At 39.9% G+C, this 18,861-nt stretch overlaps 1 protein-coding gene across 2 annotated transcripts in view, besides 2 other annotated features; it reads right to left on the reverse strand.

Annotated features, from left to right (window-relative positions):
- CLNK (cytokine dependent hematopoietic cell linker) overlaps positions 1 to 18,861 on the reverse strand; it is a 248,452-nt gene that overhangs the window by 226,641 nt on the left and 2,950 nt on the right. The gene's annotated exons all lie outside the window — the stretch shown is intronic.
- Positions 14,512 to 14,641: an enhancer, noted in NCBI's record as "active region_21319". NCBI's record gives its function as "activates an Ori minimal core promoter by ATAC-STARR-seq in GM12878 lymphoblastoid cells {active_cell/tissue: GM12878}" and the evidence as "EXISTENCE:reporter gene assay evidence [ECO:0000049][PMID:35858748]".
- Positions 14,792 to 14,841: an enhancer, noted in NCBI's record as "active region_21320". NCBI's record gives its function as "activates an Ori minimal core promoter by ATAC-STARR-seq in GM12878 lymphoblastoid cells {active_cell/tissue: GM12878}" and the evidence as "EXISTENCE:reporter gene assay evidence [ECO:0000049][PMID:35858748]".

Raw genomic sequence — 18,861 nt, forward strand, 5'->3', positions numbered from 1 at the left:
GGAGGCAGATTTTAGAGACGCCTTCCAACCTCTTTGCTTGTCTTCGCTGTGATTATTAAATTTTTTCTCTGCTGCAAGAGCTGCTGATCTCAGTGCATTGGCTTTTTTCTGGGCAGTAGGAAAGAAGAACCCATTGGACTGTAAAAGTGGTGGTCACAGAGATCTGGAATCTGAATCATCCCTGACACAGCTAAAGAATAAGACAGAAGCTGACCAGTTGTATGTGGATAAACTGGATTGGATGGGGGAGATGGTGTTGTCAAGTGTCCCACACTCCACGAATTACTCTGGGAAAAGGATGTGTGAGTGAGACATGGACGAAATGAGTGCCATGAACAACAGAGAACTGGGGTGGATTAATCTTAACTCCTGTCCAAGATGGTGCTAGGAGGAAGGGGGAACAACCTCAGCCAAAAGGAGGTGGAGGAGATAGAGGAAGGTGCAGGGGAAGATGAGGTCATGGCCCATATCACATAGCTGTAGAGAGAGACCTGGGGGTAGTGAGGGGGTTTCTAAAATTTATCCTTAATATGGTTTGAATTTTTGTCCCCCCAAAATCTCATGTTAAAATTCGATCTCCAGTGCTGGAGGTGGGGCCTAGTGGGAGGTATTTGGATCCTGGAAATGGATCCCTCATGGATGGGTTGGTGCCTTCCCTGCAATAATGAGTTCTTACATTCTTAGTTCATGTGAAAGCGTGTTGTTAAAAGGAGCATGGCATCCCTCCCATTCTTCCCTTGCTCCTTCTCTCATCATGTGACAACCAAGCAGATGCCAGCACCATGCTTCTTAAATAGCCTGAAGAATCATGTGCCAAATAGACCTCTTTTCTTTACCAATTGTCAGATCTCAGGTATTCCTTTATAGTAATGCAAAATAGACTAATGCAATCCTTTTTTAGACATTTCATGGGCCTTTTGAAGCTGCCAAATCTGGGCAGCAGCTCGAAACATTATCGGCCAAACAAGAATCTTCCTGTCATTCTCTCCTTTCCTGCTTTCTTTCCATGTTACAAGCCTAGACAGGCAGATATTGTTGGGGAAGAGTGGTGGAAGAAAGTGCCAGGGAGGAGAAAGAGCTGCAGCCAACCAGAGCCCCCTTCCCAGGCTGTGGCTTCCACAAACTATAGACCTTTCCAGGAGGAGAGGGGCTGAGACTCAAAATCAGGTTTGTGATTTTGCTATTTAAATAGTAACAAACATTTTACACAGTAAAGCAAGATTATACTTGTGACTTAAATTGAGTAGAATATTTCGTGTTACTTAAGAGAGGTTAGGGCAGGGAAATAACTACCCTCCATGAAAAACTTAAACAGTGGGAAATAAAAGAAGCAAGTTAATATCTGCAAAGTCCTCCAGTAAAGAATCTTATTAACTTTGACCTGAGTTTTCCAAACCTATTTTCCTACAAACTTCTTTTTGTCACAGAAGAACAATTAATATGCCATGGAAAGGAGAATCATTTGGAACATACTTAGGTATATAGTGTTCAAATGGCTAAATATTTTCTTTTAGATTAATATGCAGAAAGTTATTGTTTTGATTTAAACAAATCATAGATCAAAAATCAGGACAGCAGCTGGTATATATATTCTGTGGTCCTTAGATCTCTTTTAATCTAAAATATCTTAGATAATACATTCATTGTGGTGTGTGTGTGTGTGTGTGTGTGTGTGTGCGTGTGAGTAGCTTATTCTCATATTTATTCCATGACTTTAAGTTAAATATTGCAAATCTCAGTGAAAAAGGCACTCTAGTTAACAAAATCCTGATTTCATTTGTTAGTCTTTTGTCAAGCCACTACATTATACATTCTGACATCAGTGTGGCTAAAGAATGTTGAAAAATGCTGGTAAGAGGTAAGAATTTTTCTTTTTTTATTCAGCATTTTGCTTTTAATGTATTTATGTACCTTAAGTTTTTTTTTCCCCTACCTTAAATCAACATCCTTCTTTGGTTTCAGTATCAGTAATAAAATGATCATGTAATTTTTATGACTATATTTTATTTTTTAAGGGGAACAAAAACAATAAATTGCCTCAAATACTTTCAATTAAAAATCAAATTCATATTATTGTCCTTTATATATTGTCAAAGTGTGTCTTTCAGGTCCGTGCTATTTAAAATGCAGTCTGTAGACCAGCAGCATTGAAACACTGGGGACCTTGTTAGCAACACAGAACCATAAGCCCCTCTCTAGACCTACTGACTTGGGAGTCAACTGCCCAACAGTGTTTGAGAAACACCTTATTATGACATTTACCATGGGGTTTATTGTCCGTGTGTTTAATTACACCTTGTAGCTTCCACCCCGCCCCATCATAATAGAACGGATAAGGGCAGAATTGAGCTGAATCCAGACCTGGGCAATTCACTTAAACTTCCAGCCCCAGTTCTCTTATTTTCAAAATATGGATAATAGTCTTTGCCACAATGTTGCAAAGTGAGACTTATTCAAAATAATAGGATCTGTAAGGGATCCAGTGTACTCTTGTGATTCAAACTAACATTCCACAAATTTTATTTCCAAAAGGAAAATTTCTTCTTCCTTCTTTCTTTTCTTCTTCTTTATATTTTGTTGTTGTCTTTGTTGTTTGTTTCTTTAACATCTACTTGTTTGGCAACTTCAGGTACATAGATTATAACTAAGAATATTAAATTAAGTTTACATTACTTAAGTATCACTATAATTATTATCAAAATCACCTGTGTCAAAATCCCTATTGGTTGCTTGGTAGGAGAAGCCCTGTGTCCTCAGCGCACTACTTCATCAGGCATGGTTATCTCACTTCCAATTCCCCAGAACATTACGGGCAGGAATTAGGGATGTGGGGCCTGCAGATGTAGGAAAATGCATTAAGAGCTCGTAGCTGCTTGGCAGAGAGAAAACAAACTGCCCCAGCTGCTTAGAATTAGGATCTGAGTCATCAAGAAGAGGTGAATTCTTTTCCTGAGCCTCCGCTGTTTGAGAAGGTAGGAAAGTTTTTTAATAATATATAACGAAGGCTGAACATGCAAGATTATTTTTAAAATTGGGATTTCTAAGTGAATGCCACAGAATTGAGGTTTCAGCAATATTAAATCAACAATAAGCGGTTTCTGAATTAATTCTCAAGAAGTTTCTTCTTTCGAACATTAACTCTCTCCTAAGCCAGGAAAATTTGTATGACTTTTTTCTTTTTCCTTGTTTTTTCACCTTTTGTTGGCTTTGAGGTTGAGGATTCTGATAGGATCAAGTAAATAGGATAATAAATAAATAAATGTCTCAGTTAAGGTAGGCATGTAAGCAATTTAATATTTCTAAAAGAGAACCATGAAGAACAATTGTGACCTCTGCTGAGAAGACAGAGTAGATGTACTTTTACCTACTTTTTTCCACTAAATACAACTAAAAACCCTGGGCATACTTTAAAAAATTTGAGAAAGCTTAATTGTGGGGAGAAGGTGACAGACTGGCTAGGGACCTCTAAACCTAAAAAACAACAAGGTGGTGAGTTCCCTGAGATTTCTTTCTGTTTTACGTGTCCCAAACTTCAGTTGAATAATTAACAATCAACAAATACTGATAGACACAGATGAGAAAAGCCTTAATGAAAACTTTCCCTCTCTACCAAAAGGAATAGGAAAGAGGCAGGCTGGCAAGACAGAAAACTTTTTTTTTTTTTTTTAATTTTTGGAGACAGAGTTTCACTCTTGTCACCCAGGCTGGAATGTAATGGTGTGATCTCGGCTCACTGCAACCTCTGCCTCCTGGGTTCAAGCAATTCTCCTGCCCCAGCCTCCCAAGTAGCTGGGATTACAGGCACACACCACCATGCTCAGCTAATTTTTGTATTTTTAGTAGAGACAGGGTTTCACCATGTTGGCCAGGCTGGTCTTGAACTCCTGACCTCAGGCAATCCGCCTGTCTCAGCCTCCCAAAGTGCTGGAGTTACAGACAGAAAACTTTTAGACAATAACTGTCCTATCGTAGCCAAACGCCACAGAAAAAAAAAAAAATTATATTCCACCCACACTGGCCAAGGATGAGTGGGAAACCTAGATGGTCACTTTGCTTGTTTGAAATGAGGGGCCCCAAATGCCCAGCTGGGGTAGTGTGGGAGGAAGCTGAGCAGGAAACTAGAGCTTTCCTCCTTGCCAGGCAATAAAAAGCCCCCTCTCCATGTCAGTGTCTGTAAAGACCATGTAGGATACCTAGACTTTCAGCCTCATTGAACAGTGATGTGTTTCTCTCCCTCCTCATTGGGGTAGTATCAGAGGGGGTGGAGTAAAAAGCCGTGGCCGGGTGTGGTGGCTCACGCCTGTAATCCCAGCACTTTGGGAGGCCGAGGCGGACAGATCACTTGAGGCCAAGAGTTTGAGACCAGCCTGGGCAACTTAGAGAAACCCCGTCTCTATTAAAAATACAAAAATCAGCCGGATGTGGTTATGCACGCCTGTAATTCCAGCTCCTCGGGAGGCTGAGGCAGGAAAATTGCTTGAACCCGGGAGGCAGAGGTTGCAGTGAGCTGAAATGGCGCCATTGCACTCCAGCCTGGGTGACAGGGCGAGACTCCAAAAAACAAAACAGAAAAGCTGTATGAGGCACTCCCACCCCACTGGTAAAGGGAGGTATCAATGGAGCCAGGTGAGAAATCTGGACTTCAATACCCACACTATCCCTGGGAGCCTCTTTCTTTCCCTTGTCAGAGTGGTATCAGTGGAAACCAGCTAAAACACGAAGTTTAAGTAAAATCCAGAGTCTCATAATATAATACCTGGAATATGCAGTTTTCAATAAAAAAGTCATTATACCAAGAACCATAAAATTTCAGTTGGTGAGAAAAAGACAATCAATAGATGCCAACAGAGATGTAAGACTTATCTGATGAAGATTTCAAAGAGTCATCACAAAAATGCTTCAATGAGCAATTACAAACATGCTTGAAACAAATGAAAAAATAAGAGTCTTAGCAAAAACAGCAAAGTCTTATAGAAAATAGAATAAATAGAGAAGAACAAATGGAAATTTTAGAAGTGAAAATACAATAACCAAAATTAAAATAAAACAAAATTCTATACAAAACCTCAATCTATGGGCTCAACAGCAGAACGGAAGAGTCAGAGTAAAGAATCAATGAACTGGAAGTAGAACAATTAAAACGTGTTGGATCTAACATTCATGCCATTGGAGCCCAAGAAAGAGAGGAGAAAGAGGGAAGGGTTGAAAGAAATACTCAGAGAAATAAATACTGACAACTCTCCCATTTTGTAAATACATAAATCCACATATTCAAGAAGCTAAATGAACCACAAACACAAAAAACCCAAATAGTCATTTTCTGAAAACTAAAGACAAAGAAAAAATCTTGAAAGCAGCAAGAGAGAAACAATATCATATAAAGAAAAAGTACGTTGATTGGCAGTGAATTTCTCATCGGAAACCATAGAGACCAGAAAAAAAGTGGCACAATATTTTTTAAGTCCTGAAGAAAATAAGATAACTGTAAAGCCAGCATTTTATATCTAGTAAAATATCTTTCAGGAATGAAGGAGAAATTAAAATATTCTCAGATAAAGAAAAACAAAAAAAAAACTAGAAGAATTCGTCACTAGCAGAAGCAGACCTGTTTTAACAAATGGCTAAAGGAAGTTCTCTAAACAAAACAACAAAAAAAATATGTTAAGAAATCTTGGAACATCAGAAAGAAAGAAATAACACAGTAAGCTAAAATATGGATAAACAAAATAGATTTTTCTTGTTCTCTTGAGTCTTCAAAATTATGTTTAATGGTAAAGCAAAAATTACAACCCGTCTAATATGTTCTAAATGTATATAAAGGAAATATTCATGATAATTATATTATAAATGGAAGGTGGAAGGAGAGATGGGAAAGGAGGTAATTTTTCCATATTTTATTTGAACTGGTAAAATGACAACACCAGACTGTGTTGACTGTAGTAAATGTTGAATGTATAATGCTAATACCTAGAGCAAGCACTAAAAATAATAAATAAACCTCTTCAAAAAGATACAGTCAAAAACTCCATAGATAAATCAAAATGTAATTCTAAAAAAGTTTTTAAATAACACACAGGAAGGCAGGAAAAATAAAACAGAAATGAAAACAGAAAGAATAAACAGAAAACAGAAAATAAAATAGCAATCTTAAGCCCTAACGTATCAGTAGTCATACTAAGTGTAAATGGTCTAAATACACTAATTAAAAGACAGATATTAGCAGAGTGGATTAAAATATATAGGCCAACTATATGCTTACTAAAAGAAACTCATGTCAAATATAATAATACAGGCAGTTTGAGAGTAAAAGGATGGAAAATGTATAAATCTTTTAATTTTAATTAATTTACAAAGATTAATCAAAAGAAAGAGTGACTGTATTAACATTAGATAAAGTAGACATCAGAGAAAAGAAAATTACCAGAGATAGAGAGGAACATAATATGATAAAAGGGCCAACCCACTAAGAAGACTTAACTGTCCTAAATGTGTGTGCATACACACACAAAGAAACAGAATTATAAAATATATGCACTGAAAATGGATAGAATTAAAAGAAGAAATAGATGAATTCACAATTGCAGATGGAGACTTCAATACTCTTCTCTCCATAATTGATAGAAAAAACCCAAGAGAAAACTATCAAGGGTATAGAAGAACTCAACAAAACCATCAACCGTAGCATCGAATCAACCTTTGTAGAATACTCCATCCGATGATGGCAGAATAACATTCTTCTCAAGTGTCCATAGAACATATATCAAGACAGACCACATCCTGGGACATAAAACAAACCTTGGCAAACTTAAAGTATTTAAAATCATACAGAGCCAATGTGGAATCAAACTGGAAATCAGTAACAAAGATACCAGAAAAATCCCCAGACACTTTCAAACTAAGCTACAATTCTAAATAACCCATGGGTCAAAGAGGATGTCTCCGTGGAAATTGAAAAAAAAATTCATTGAGTTGAATGAAAATGAGACTGTAACATAAAAACTTTGTAGGCTATGACTAAAACAATGCTGAGAGGGAAATTTAGAGCACTAACTGCAAATGTTAAAAAAATGAAGTCTGAAACCAATAATCTAAGATCCTACTTCAAGAACCTAGAAAAAAATAGCAAAATAAATCCAAAGGAAGCCGAGAGAAGAAAACAATACAGAACAGAAACAAATCAAAACACAAAATATATTACAGAAAAAAAATCAATGAAACAAAGTTGTTTGTTTAAAAAGATCAATAAAATTTACAAGTTTCTCTGAAAAGGCTGACAAAAAACGAACACAAATTACCATGACTAGGAATGAAAGATTACTAGGAACATCACTACAAATTATTTAAAGACTTCTCAAAACCCGATGAAAAAAATTAAATTAGAAAGTAGGCTAGAGATACGAACAGATATTTCGGAAGAGGATACGCAGATGACAAATGAGCGCATGAAATGTTCAACATCATTAGGTATTAAGATAATGAAAATTAAAAAACTGCAATGAGTTATCCCTACATACCTATTAGAATGACTTTAAAAACCTCCGCAAAACGTGTACCATTTACTTTCTACTGTACTATGAAAACGTAATGAGGTACAGAAAAACCACAAGAGAGATGAAAATAAAGAACTGAACAAAAATGCATACAAAAAAAAATAGTGACACCACCAAATGCTGACAAGGATATGTTGAAAATGGATCACACATACATTGCTGATGGGAATGTAAAATTGTACGGGGACGCTGGAAAACAGCTTGACAGTTTCTTAAAAAAATAACAACTAACAATTGCACTCCTGGGCATTTATCCCAGAGAAATGAAAGCTTATGTTCACACAAAAATTGGTACACAAATTAATTATAATATTAAAAACTGGAAACAATGCAAGTGTCCTTCAGTGGCTGAATGATTAAATAAACTGGTACATTTGTATCATCACATACTACTCAACAATACAAAGGAATGAATTGTTAATACATACACAACTTGGGGGACTTTCCAGAGAATTATGTTGAGTGAAAAAGTCAATCAAGAAAAATTACTTATATATGATTCCATTAATATAATATTTTGGAAATGAGAAAATTATAGGAATGGAGAACAGACAGGTGGTTGCCAGGGACTGAGGAGGGAGGTGGGGGCTCTGAGGAGGGAGTTGGGGGCTGGAGGGAACTGGGTGTGGCTATAGAAGGGCTGCATCCTGGTGATGATGGAAAAGTTCTGTATCTTGACTGTATCGACTGCATGCCCTGATGGTGATATCGTATAATAGTTTTGAAAGGACTACCACTGGGGGAAAATGGGTAAAGGGCACACAGAGATCTTTGCTTTATTTCTTAAAACTGCATGAGACTCTACAATCATCTGAAATTTTAAAAGTTTATTGAAAAATTAAAAAGGAACACATTGACATAATTCTCTCCCCAAGAATATGGGCTACTTCTGAGTCATGTTGTAGTGGAAAGAAGTGTAGAGAACATATGGTATGTGTAGGTAAAATCTACACTCCTTATAGGGAAAGATAGGGTAGAATATTGATACATTTTCTTCTTTTGTTCATTTGCTGATGAAGTCAATTTGTCCACACATTTATATTTTCATACATTCATTCATTTATAAACTTATTAATTCACTTGTTTGCTTTATCTTTCATTTAAACAGTAATTATCGAGTTGTATGTTAGGCGTTGTACTAAGCACCAGGAGAGGGAGAAGGAGCACGGCATGACCTCTGCATTTAGAGAGCTCACATTTATTTACACATTCATCAAGCAAGTACCAATCCAACCAAACAACCAAGGTTGACAGGTGCATATTGTATTGCCAAAGCCTGACATACTGCTTGGCATAAAAATATGAATAAACAGCCAGGCAGTGGCTCATGCCTGTAATCCCAGCACTTTTAGAGGACAAGGCTGGCAGATCACTTGAGGTCAGGAGTTTGAGACCATCGTGGGAAGCATAGTGAGACCCCATCTCTACAAAAAATACAATTAGCCAGGCAAGGTGGCATACGACTGTAATCCCGGCTACTCGGGAGGCTGAAGTGGGAGGATTGTTTGAGTCCCGGAAATGGAGGTTGCAGTGAGCCCTGATCATGCCACTGCATTCCAGATTGAGCGAGAGAGACCCTGTCTCAAAAATAAGTAAATAAATATGATAAGGTAAACATGCAAGAGGAAAGGAGGGAGAGCAACTCACCAATTTGGTGAAGAAGGATGTACCAAGTCACAGATTCAATGGGATTGAATTTTGATGACCCCCAGTATAAAATCCAAGCTCCTAAGCTCCTAAATATGAAACACAAGGCTCTCACCAACATGGCTCCAACATCCCCTTCCAGCCCCATCTCCCGCTAGCTCAGCTGGGCTTTATGTGCTTTCCATTTTCTCTGCGTGTGTTCCTGCTGTTTCCTCCACAAGAATGTCCTTTCTCCACTTGTCAACCTAGTGACCCACTATTATGCAGCTTTCGATAACTCTGTTTCTCCATAGCAGGGGGTGAATGACCTGCTCTTCTCTGCTCTCATAATGTTACCAGTTGAGGGTGTCCAGGTTTTTGGCATTCTTAACAAAGAATTACACAAAACACACAAACAAAGCAAGTAAAGAAGGAAGCAACAAAAGCAGATTTATTGAGATCTGCTATTGTACACTCCACAGGGTGGGAGTGGGCCCAAGCAAACAGCTCAAGAGCACCATTACAAAATTTTCTGGGGTTTCAATACTCTCTAGACGGCAGGGCGTGGTGGCTCACGCCTGTTATTCCAGCACTTTGGGAGGCCGAGGCGGGTGGATCACCTAAGGTCAGGAGTTCGAGACCAGCCTGGCCAGCATGGCAAAACACCGTCTCTACTAAAAATACAAAAATTAGGCAGGTGTGGTGGTGCATACCTGTGATCCTAGATACTTGGGAGGCTGAGGCACAATAATTGCTTGAACCCGGGAGGTTGCAGTTAGCTGAGATCACACCACTGCACTCCAGCCTGGGAGACAGAGCGAGACTCTGTATTAAAAAAAAAAACAACCCCTCTAGACATTTCCTATTGGTTACTTGGTGTATGCTGTATGTAAATGAAGAGGGTATAGTGAGGTTACAAAGTTCTTTACTTGGTATACAGGCTACATGCAAATGAAGAGGATGTTTCCTGTCATAGCTGCAGTGAAGTTACAAAGTTATTTACTTGGGCATAGAAAGTTGGGGGTTTTCCCTTTGATTTAGTTCCAGGAAGTGCTTACGATCCGTGCTTCCAGACCCTATTCTCTTGCCTCAGTAACACTTATGTATACATTTGGTTCAGGTTCTAATTATGCTAGTGGAGTATATTAAGAAGTTTAGGGATCAAATGGATAAAGACTAAATTCTACTTTTCCCACTTAATAATCCTTTTAACTCAGAGGAACTTGTGGGTCTCTCTGAATCTCTCTCTCCTTAAGACTTTATGGATATGAATAGGCTCTTGTCTCAGAAGTGATGTGTGGATTAAGAGAAATAACACTAAGAAAGTGTTTGGGAAACTGCCTGGAATGTAGGTAGCCTTGAGGAAATGCTGGCTCTTATGGTATTATGGGAAATCATTTTTGCGTTTCTATCCACTTCTTTGAGGCAGGGACTATTTCTTGTTCATTGAGACCCTTGTGCGGTAATAACAACATTATTAGTAATAATCATGCCTACCCCACACCATATTACTTAACTGTACATAGTAGATAACACAGGTTTGTTGAAACAGCTTGTTCGGGAATAACTAGATTGCAGGATTTCTTGTGTCTCTTCCAGTTAGATCACATTAATCTGTGTTCACTGAAATGCTAGTGCTCCCTGGAGAGGTCTGAGAATAACACAGGAGTCAGAGAGAGAGAGAGAGAGAGAGAGAGAGAGAGAGAGAAGGCAGGGCAGCGTGGCTTTGGTAACTTTTATGTGTGGGTGGGATATATGAGTTTGCCCAGGGATTAATAAGCAGCTATTTGAGCAGGAAGTTCTTCCTTGTCAAGAGCATAAGATGCTTTGCGCGATATTTCAGACCAAGAGTCGACGGGGTTGGGGGATGCTCTCAGCATAAGTCCTTATTATTGGACTAAAGGAACTGTATAAGGGCTTATACATTACTATATATTTAATATTTATACATATTTAACATTATACAAATATAATGTATGTATGCACACAACACAGTCCCATCTTTGATCTTTGTTTCACCGTTTCATCTGCCCAGGATGCTTTCTGCTGGATACCTGCATGGATAACTCCCTCGCCTCCTCCTTCAAGTTGTTGCTCACATGTCCCGCTCTTGAAGAGGCTTATCCTGCCATCCTATGTAATTCTACAACCCGTCTTCCCTATGCTCAGAATTTGAATCCTTCTCATCCTTCTCTACCTTTTCCTGTTGTTATAGCTTAAGTCATTTTCTGGAATACTATACGCCACTCTTGATATTACATTTTTAGTTAGTTTTTTTTTTTCGTTGCCTATTATAATGTAAGTCCAGTGAGGGCAGAAAGTTCTTTCTGTTTTGTCCACTGCTGTATGGTAAGGGCTTAGAACAATGGACAGCAACCCTGTATGTGTCCAAGGTCGTGTGAATAAAAGAATAAATCAGATGGGGCTTTAGAGAGGAAACAGCTCTTAGGAAGAAGAGAGGAATGAATGAATGAATTTATTTTACGGCAAACACTGCCAGATAAGAAGAGATGGATTTGCTTAGAGATCATCCATAAAAAGCAGGAGCAGGTACAGCCTGGGGCTCATGTTGTCCCATTGTTTTATTGCTAATCCCCTATCCCCTTTGTGGGAAGGGAACTTCCCCTTCTCCTAGTGATCCAGCAGACCTCAGAGGAGGCTTAGTGACGGGAGAGAAGAGAAAGCCTATTTAATCTCAATTATCTGAGACTGAAAAATTCAAAGACCTAAGAGGGCAGTGGTGGAAGAACTTATTTGTGAGGCAGGGAAGAGGGCGGAGTCACGGACACCTGTGAAGAAGGGGTGAGGAGGAGAGGCCTGTGGGTTTGTCTCTGACCTTCTATCAGTTGAGCTCACAGTCTGTTTTCCTTGCGAAGGAGAGGGCCCAGGAGACTAGAAAAGGTGCATAATGCCTCCCCAGGTCCCATAGCACCGTAGGGATAGAACTGTTTAACCAGGGGTTGCTCACTGTAGCCCGCGGGGTGAGATGTGCCTTTAAAAGGTCACTCGATTTAATGCCTTGACTGGAGCACACCCTTTCCACTCTGCCAGGGTCCCCTCTCCTCTGGCTTTGCACCAGGCCAGGGCTCACATCTTTGCATTATCATTTGTTATGTGTACCAGATGGCCTGGGCCCTAGCCTTCATTTGGGTGGAGTGTGAATTCTAGGTAAAGAAGTGTGGGCAAGATATTTTCTGGAACTGGAAGCGGAGGGCACCCACCCCTCCCTAGCCTCCTCCTTCACAGCATCTGCAAGGACGCCCGTGCAGGTTCCTCGGCCATCAGAAGTGACTACCCCCCCATAAATCCAAGCTGTAGAAAGAAAATGCTCCATCCCCATTTCCCCTCCCCAGCGAAAAACACATTCTGTAGGACATTTAGAAATAAAAGTTTACACTTTGGGAGGCCAAGGCGGGCGGATCACAAGGTCAGGAGATCGAGACCATCCTGGCTAACATGGTGAAACACCTTCTCTACTAAAAAAGTACAAAAAATTAGCCGGGCGTGTTGGCGGGCGCCTGTAGTCCCAGCTACTCGGGAGGCTGAGGCAGGAGAATGGCGTGAACCCGGGAGGCGGACCTTGCAGTGAGCCGAGATGCGCCACTGCACTCCAGCCTGGGCGACAGAGGGAGACTCCGTCTAAAAAAAAAAAAGAAAAAAGAAAAAACGTTTAAAAGGAGATTCCTATAAATGCGGTATTGCAGATCTGTTAGTTTGCCAGGCATGTTGTATCAAAGCAGCACAAACAGAGTGGCTGACACCAATAGAAATATATTGTCTCACAGTTCTGGGGACCAGAGGCTGTGAGCAAGGTGTGGGCAGGGCTGGTTCCTTCTCTGGACTGTGAAGGAGAATCTGTTCCAGGCCTCTACTTGCTCCTGGGGTTTCTGGCAATCTTTGATATCCCGTGGCTTCTGCTAGCATCACCCTAGACCCCCACCTTTACCTTCACATGGCTGGAGTGCAGTGGTGAGATCTTGGTTCATTGCAACCTCTGCCTCTCGGGTTCAAGCGATTCTCCTGCCTCACGCCTCAGGTAGCTGGGACTACAGACGCCTGCCACCACACCCAGCTAATTTTTGTATTTTTAGTGGAGATAAGGTTTCACCATGTTGGCCAGGATGGTCTCGATCTCTTGACCTCGTGATTCACCCGACTTGGCCTCCCAAAGTGCTGGGATTATAGGCGTGAGCCACCATGCCTGGCCCTATGTGTGTATCTGTGTTGAAATTTCCTCTTTTTGTAAGGACACCAGTTATAGTGGATTAGGGGCCCAACCCACTCCAGTATGCCCTCATCTTAACTAATTACATCTGCAATTGCTCTGTTTCCAGGTAAGGTTACACTCCTAGGTCCTGGACATTAGGATTTCAGCATATGAATTCCAGGTGGACATAATTAACCCATAACAGGGTAGAGCGAAGATTTCAGTTGTAGAATTATTATTAATGAAGATTAAAACAACCTTTTTAACCTTTCAATTATATAATTGCAAGAACTGAAGCCCAGAGGTTTTAGGGTAGTTTGAAGTGGGAAAGACATGCCCCTCCACCTCCACCCATGATAAACCACATGGTTTAGAATCCCTCTTTGTGAGCTGCATCCTTCCCGTGGGTATGACAATGCCTGCTTGCTGTTACCTAGCAGGAAGGTTAGAGATCAAATGGAACTGTTGCTATGAAAATGTGTTGTTACCTGTAACAGACATGTATGTGTAATACGTGTTTCTTTAGGGCCAGATAGCAAGTGACGGGCCAAAATGCAATAGGTATCTTTTGAGCATCATCACATCAAGTCTGGAGTTTGTTCCTCAGACACAGCAGTATCCCAGGCATTCCTTTATGTAGTGGTCAGTGCAGAAGCCTGAGACTCACAAGCAGGCACAGGGGACATGTGGCAACAACTCATTCTCAAACCGTAAAAGTATTGAAATTTGACCCAGGAAATCCAAGTCAATTATGTGGGGAACTCATATAGAGCAAGAGCCATTCTCTTTTCACTTGCAAAATTCTCAGCAAAATAACTGATCTTTCTGCCCACTTAAGGACATGAGTAGGAGGTTAAACAAGCACAGTTTGCAGGTGGGGCTCATACTGAAGGTCAGCTTGAGAGTCGTGGAAAATTCCGTGGTGGAACACAAGGCCACTGAAAGATCATTTCGTCAGTTACCAGCAGGGTGGAGTGAGACTGGGGTTTCACCAAGACATTCACTCACTAGCTGTGTTAATGGTGGAATTGGAGGGGGTCAGTCTAATTAAATTCCTGCTTCATAGTTTCCTCCTCTGTTAAATGGGGATACAGCTATTTATGCATACCTTGCGATCAGCTATTCTAAAGTGTGATCAGACAGCACTTATTGAAATAAAGCATCTACACACCCTATGGGCCTGCAGTGCCATTCCTGGGTATAGACCTAGAGAAAGTCACACCCCAAAGGGTGAGGGGACAGTCATCAGAATGCTGACTGCAGCCTTGTTCGTGAGAAGAGGGAAGTGGAGACAGCCAAGCTGTCCAACACTAGAGCAACGAATAAGTAAAATACTGGAGATGTAAATAATGGAACACCAGGCAGCAGAGAGAAGAAATAAACTAGAACAGTGGTTCCAGGACCAGTGACATCAAAATCATCTGATAACTTATAAGAAGTGCATATTCCTGGGCCCCAACCAGTTCTAGTGAATCAGAAAATCTGAAGATGGGGCTTAGCAATTTTTTTTAACAAGCTCTCTAGGGGATTCTGCATACTGTGCTCAAGGTTGAGAACCACCAAATTAGAGGTACACATGGATAGACACGAAAACAGTCTTACGTTAAAAATATTTTGCCTCCTAGAGGGTATCGTACAATGTCTGGAGACATATTTGGTTGTCAGAACTGGGGAAAGGCTTCTGGTATCTACTGATGGGGCCAGGGCTACTGCTGAACATCCTACAGTGCGAGGGGCAGCCCAGGGCAGCTCAGCACAACAAAGAATTATCCAGCCCTGAATGTCAGGAGTGATGACACTGAGAAACCATGATGCAACTCCTTCACAAAACCTCTCTTGTCTCCCCAAAAACAATATTTGCCAAACGTTTTTAGAAGAATACACAAATACCATGAGTTTTTAATTAGGTGTTCCATTGTTCTATTGTGAAGAACAAACAGGAACAAAGCAACATTTTATTCTAAAGAGTGTGTGTGTGTGTGTGTGTGTGTGTGTGTAGCTAAAAGCATTTATAATAGTTGACCTTAGTGTTGAGAAATAACATGACATGATGCCTGAAGCAAAATCTCTTGGCTTCCCCTTGGTCAACAGGTACCTTTACCAAAGAACTGCTGCAGGTTTGCCATCACCTCAGTGGTCACTGATCTGTGTGTGATGTATCCTTTCTTTCTTTCTTTCTTTCTTTCTTTTTTTTTTTTTTTTTGAAACGGAGTCTCCATCTGTCACCCAGGCTGGAGTGCATTGGCGCCATCTCCCACCTCCCGGGTTCACACTGTTCTCCTGCCTCAGCCTCCTGAATAGCAGGGACTACAGGCGCCTGCCACCACGCCTGGCTAATTTTGTTTTTTTTGTATTTTTAGTAGAGACGGGGTTTCGCCATGTTAGTTAGCCAGGATGGTCTTGATCTCCTGATCTCGTGATCTGCCCGCCTTGGCCTCCCAAAGTGCTGGGATTACAGGTGTGAGCTACCACACCCGGCCCCTTTCTTATATTTTTAGCATATACCTTTGATATTATTCTTGACTTGTATGTTTAAACGTATCCAAGTTTGATCACTTTATACAGCAATTAATTATTCTGTGGAATCATATCTTTTGCCATGAACTTCAACCCAGATGCATGTTTTATATGATGATTTCTGTTAATTTCCTGATAATATATAATCCTTGTTAATATCTCATACTCAAATCTTTGGATCATTGCTAAGTGAGAATGGCTGCTTCCTCTTCTGAATTTTTCTCTTTGTGTCCTGTTTGGCACTCTGTACCTTTTAATTTAGGGTCTGGATTGTCTTTTACTGGTCTTACACCAGTCAGAATGGCTATTACTAAAAAGTCAAAAAATAACAGATGTTGGAGAGGGTGTGGAGAAAAGGGAAGTCTTATATACTGTTAGTAGCAATGTAAATTAGTACAGCCTCTATGGAAAACAGTATGGAGATTTCTCAAACAACTGAAACAAAACTACCATTTCATCTAGTAATCCCACTACTGAGTATCTACCCAAAAGAAAATAAATTGTTATTTGAAAAACAGGCCCTCACTTGCATGTTTACTGCAGCACCATTCACGAGAGCAAAGTGTCAACCTCAGTGTCCATCAAGGGATAAATAAAGAAAATGTTACACACTCACCCACACCCACACATACCCACTCACACACTGAAATACTATTCAGCCATAACAAAGAATGAAATCATGCCTTTTGAAGCAACACTGATGAAACTAGAAGCCATTATCTCAAGTGAAACAATCAGAAATGGAAAGTCAAATACTGTCATGGTTTGCTCTTGATGTCCCTTAAACCTCTATACTGTAAGAACTGTAAGGAACGTTGCAAAAGTTTGAAACATATAATTTATGTATAATTACCTGCCCATTAACTTTTTCCCCATGATATTTACTTGACCACGTTTCATTAAATGTTTAAGGTATAATTCTTGCAAATATGAAAGATCACAAAAGATGCATGTTGGAAATTTTCCAGAACGGTTACTATATTCAGTATCAAGACAATACTTTTACTGCCATTTGTTTTTGAAAAACAAATGGATTTGAAATATAGACACTGATTTATATGAATCAAACCTCTAAGTTTATCCAAAGAAACCAACAGGATGCTGAGTAGCACAATGTGAGGTGATGATTAAAAGCCAAAAGATATGGCCAGTGGCTGTGTTGGCAGTGGCTGTGGGGCCCTAGTCACGCCACTGCATCATGAGTGTTTCTGGGCACCTACCTGGCAAGCTCACGGTCTGCATAGCCACCATCTGCGGCCACCCTGGCTCATCACTGCACCATTGAACCTCACATTGTAAAGAATTTCCTTCCATGGTGTGGTGCTCCTGCAGTTTTCCCCCATTTCACTAAGTGATACCAGCATGCCCTCAACTCTGAGAGTCATTATATGACTCATCTGTTTCCCTCACCTTCAATGTTGGTCTATTGTCAAGTCGTACTGATTGTGCTCCCTCCAAAATATATCTGAAAATCTGCCTACTATTCATTCCCATTCAGCCTTCATTGGTTCTTGCTGGATAAATATAATGACCTTGAACTCTACATTGAATTTTTAATCTTGCATTTGAATACATTTCTGGGTGGCTCCAAATTTCCCTTTCCCCTACCTCAAAAGGGAGTTGCAACTACAAGTGAAGTATGTCCTACTCTATAGATTTAGAAATAGAACCACCGCTGAAATACATGTTCCCAATCTCCCAGCACGTTGAGATCAAAGGGAAAAAACCCAACCGATCAAAATCGTACATGCCTCATGTACTGGAAACTCCAGAACTACTGAGAGTTTCATATGGGTCTATTCTTACTTCATTGTGGTCACCTCTGGTTTACAACTCATATGTACGTTTAACCATTTCAGTGTATGAGGGTTTTTTTTAACCATCACATGCATACTGTATCTATTCCCCATGGTACCATCTCAAGCATGGAATTCATTCGCTTAATTAATTTACACTCACATGCACACATACACACACACACATCTTTTTGTGTGTGGACTTTACTAAGGTTTAGTTAGGAAGGAAAGCTACAGATTTCTTAGGTACACGTGACATTGTGATACACGCATACAATGTGTAATAATCAAATCAAGGTATTTAAAATATCCAGCACTTCAAACATTTATCATTTGTGTTGAGAACATTCCATATGTTCTCTTCTAGCTACTTTGACATATACCATAAATTATTGTGAACTATAGTCATCACACAGTGCTATCAAACATTAGACCATATTCCTTCTATGTAACTGTTTTTTTGTACCCATTAACCAACTTCTCCAGAAATTTGCACAATCATTATGTATTAGTTTTAGAAAAAGAATTATTTACTTCTCATCAACAAAAACTTCAAATGAACTATCAGATATTCTTTTTCTGAGACAGTCTCTCGCAATGCAACCACAGGGGATTTCTCCCCGGGTGGTTCGGGGCTCCCAGTCCTCCAGTCTCATGCCACCGGGCTACCCATTCCTCTCCTCTCATGCAGGGGTTTTTAGCCACATCTTTTGTTCCTTAGTTTCTGGTAATCACAATTCTCAGGCTTTTTCTATAACCTCAACTTATGAATGTTACTTCAAAGAAAGACAGATTCTTCCTAAGAGGAACTCTCTTTCATCTGTTAAGATATTTTGTTATTCTCTCTTAAAAGGGGCTGAAGATTTCCACTCATGTTGAATGTTTCTAACAATTTGAGTTTGATATTTACCCTACAGTTATTAACCAATAATTTCTTATGAGTGTGGCATCCTTTTTGTTGCTGCGATATCATCATGGTGTGCAAAATGTGTCAAGAATTCTGCTCTCATGGAGGGCAGAATCCATACATGTAGTAGTATCAGTTACTGTTAAAGTGTAACTACAAAAAGAGAAGGCTTTGCAAGAAAGGAATTCAGTCCTGTGAAATCATACCACATGCAAATCTAACGTAGTCTGAAGTTTGGTGAGTTTGAAGCAGTGGTTT

This window comes from Homo sapiens, chromosome 4 (assembly GCF_000001405.40).
Source record: "Homo sapiens chromosome 4, GRCh38.p14 Primary Assembly".
Lineage (NCBI taxonomy): Eukaryota > Metazoa > Chordata > Mammalia > Primates > Hominidae > Homo > Homo sapiens.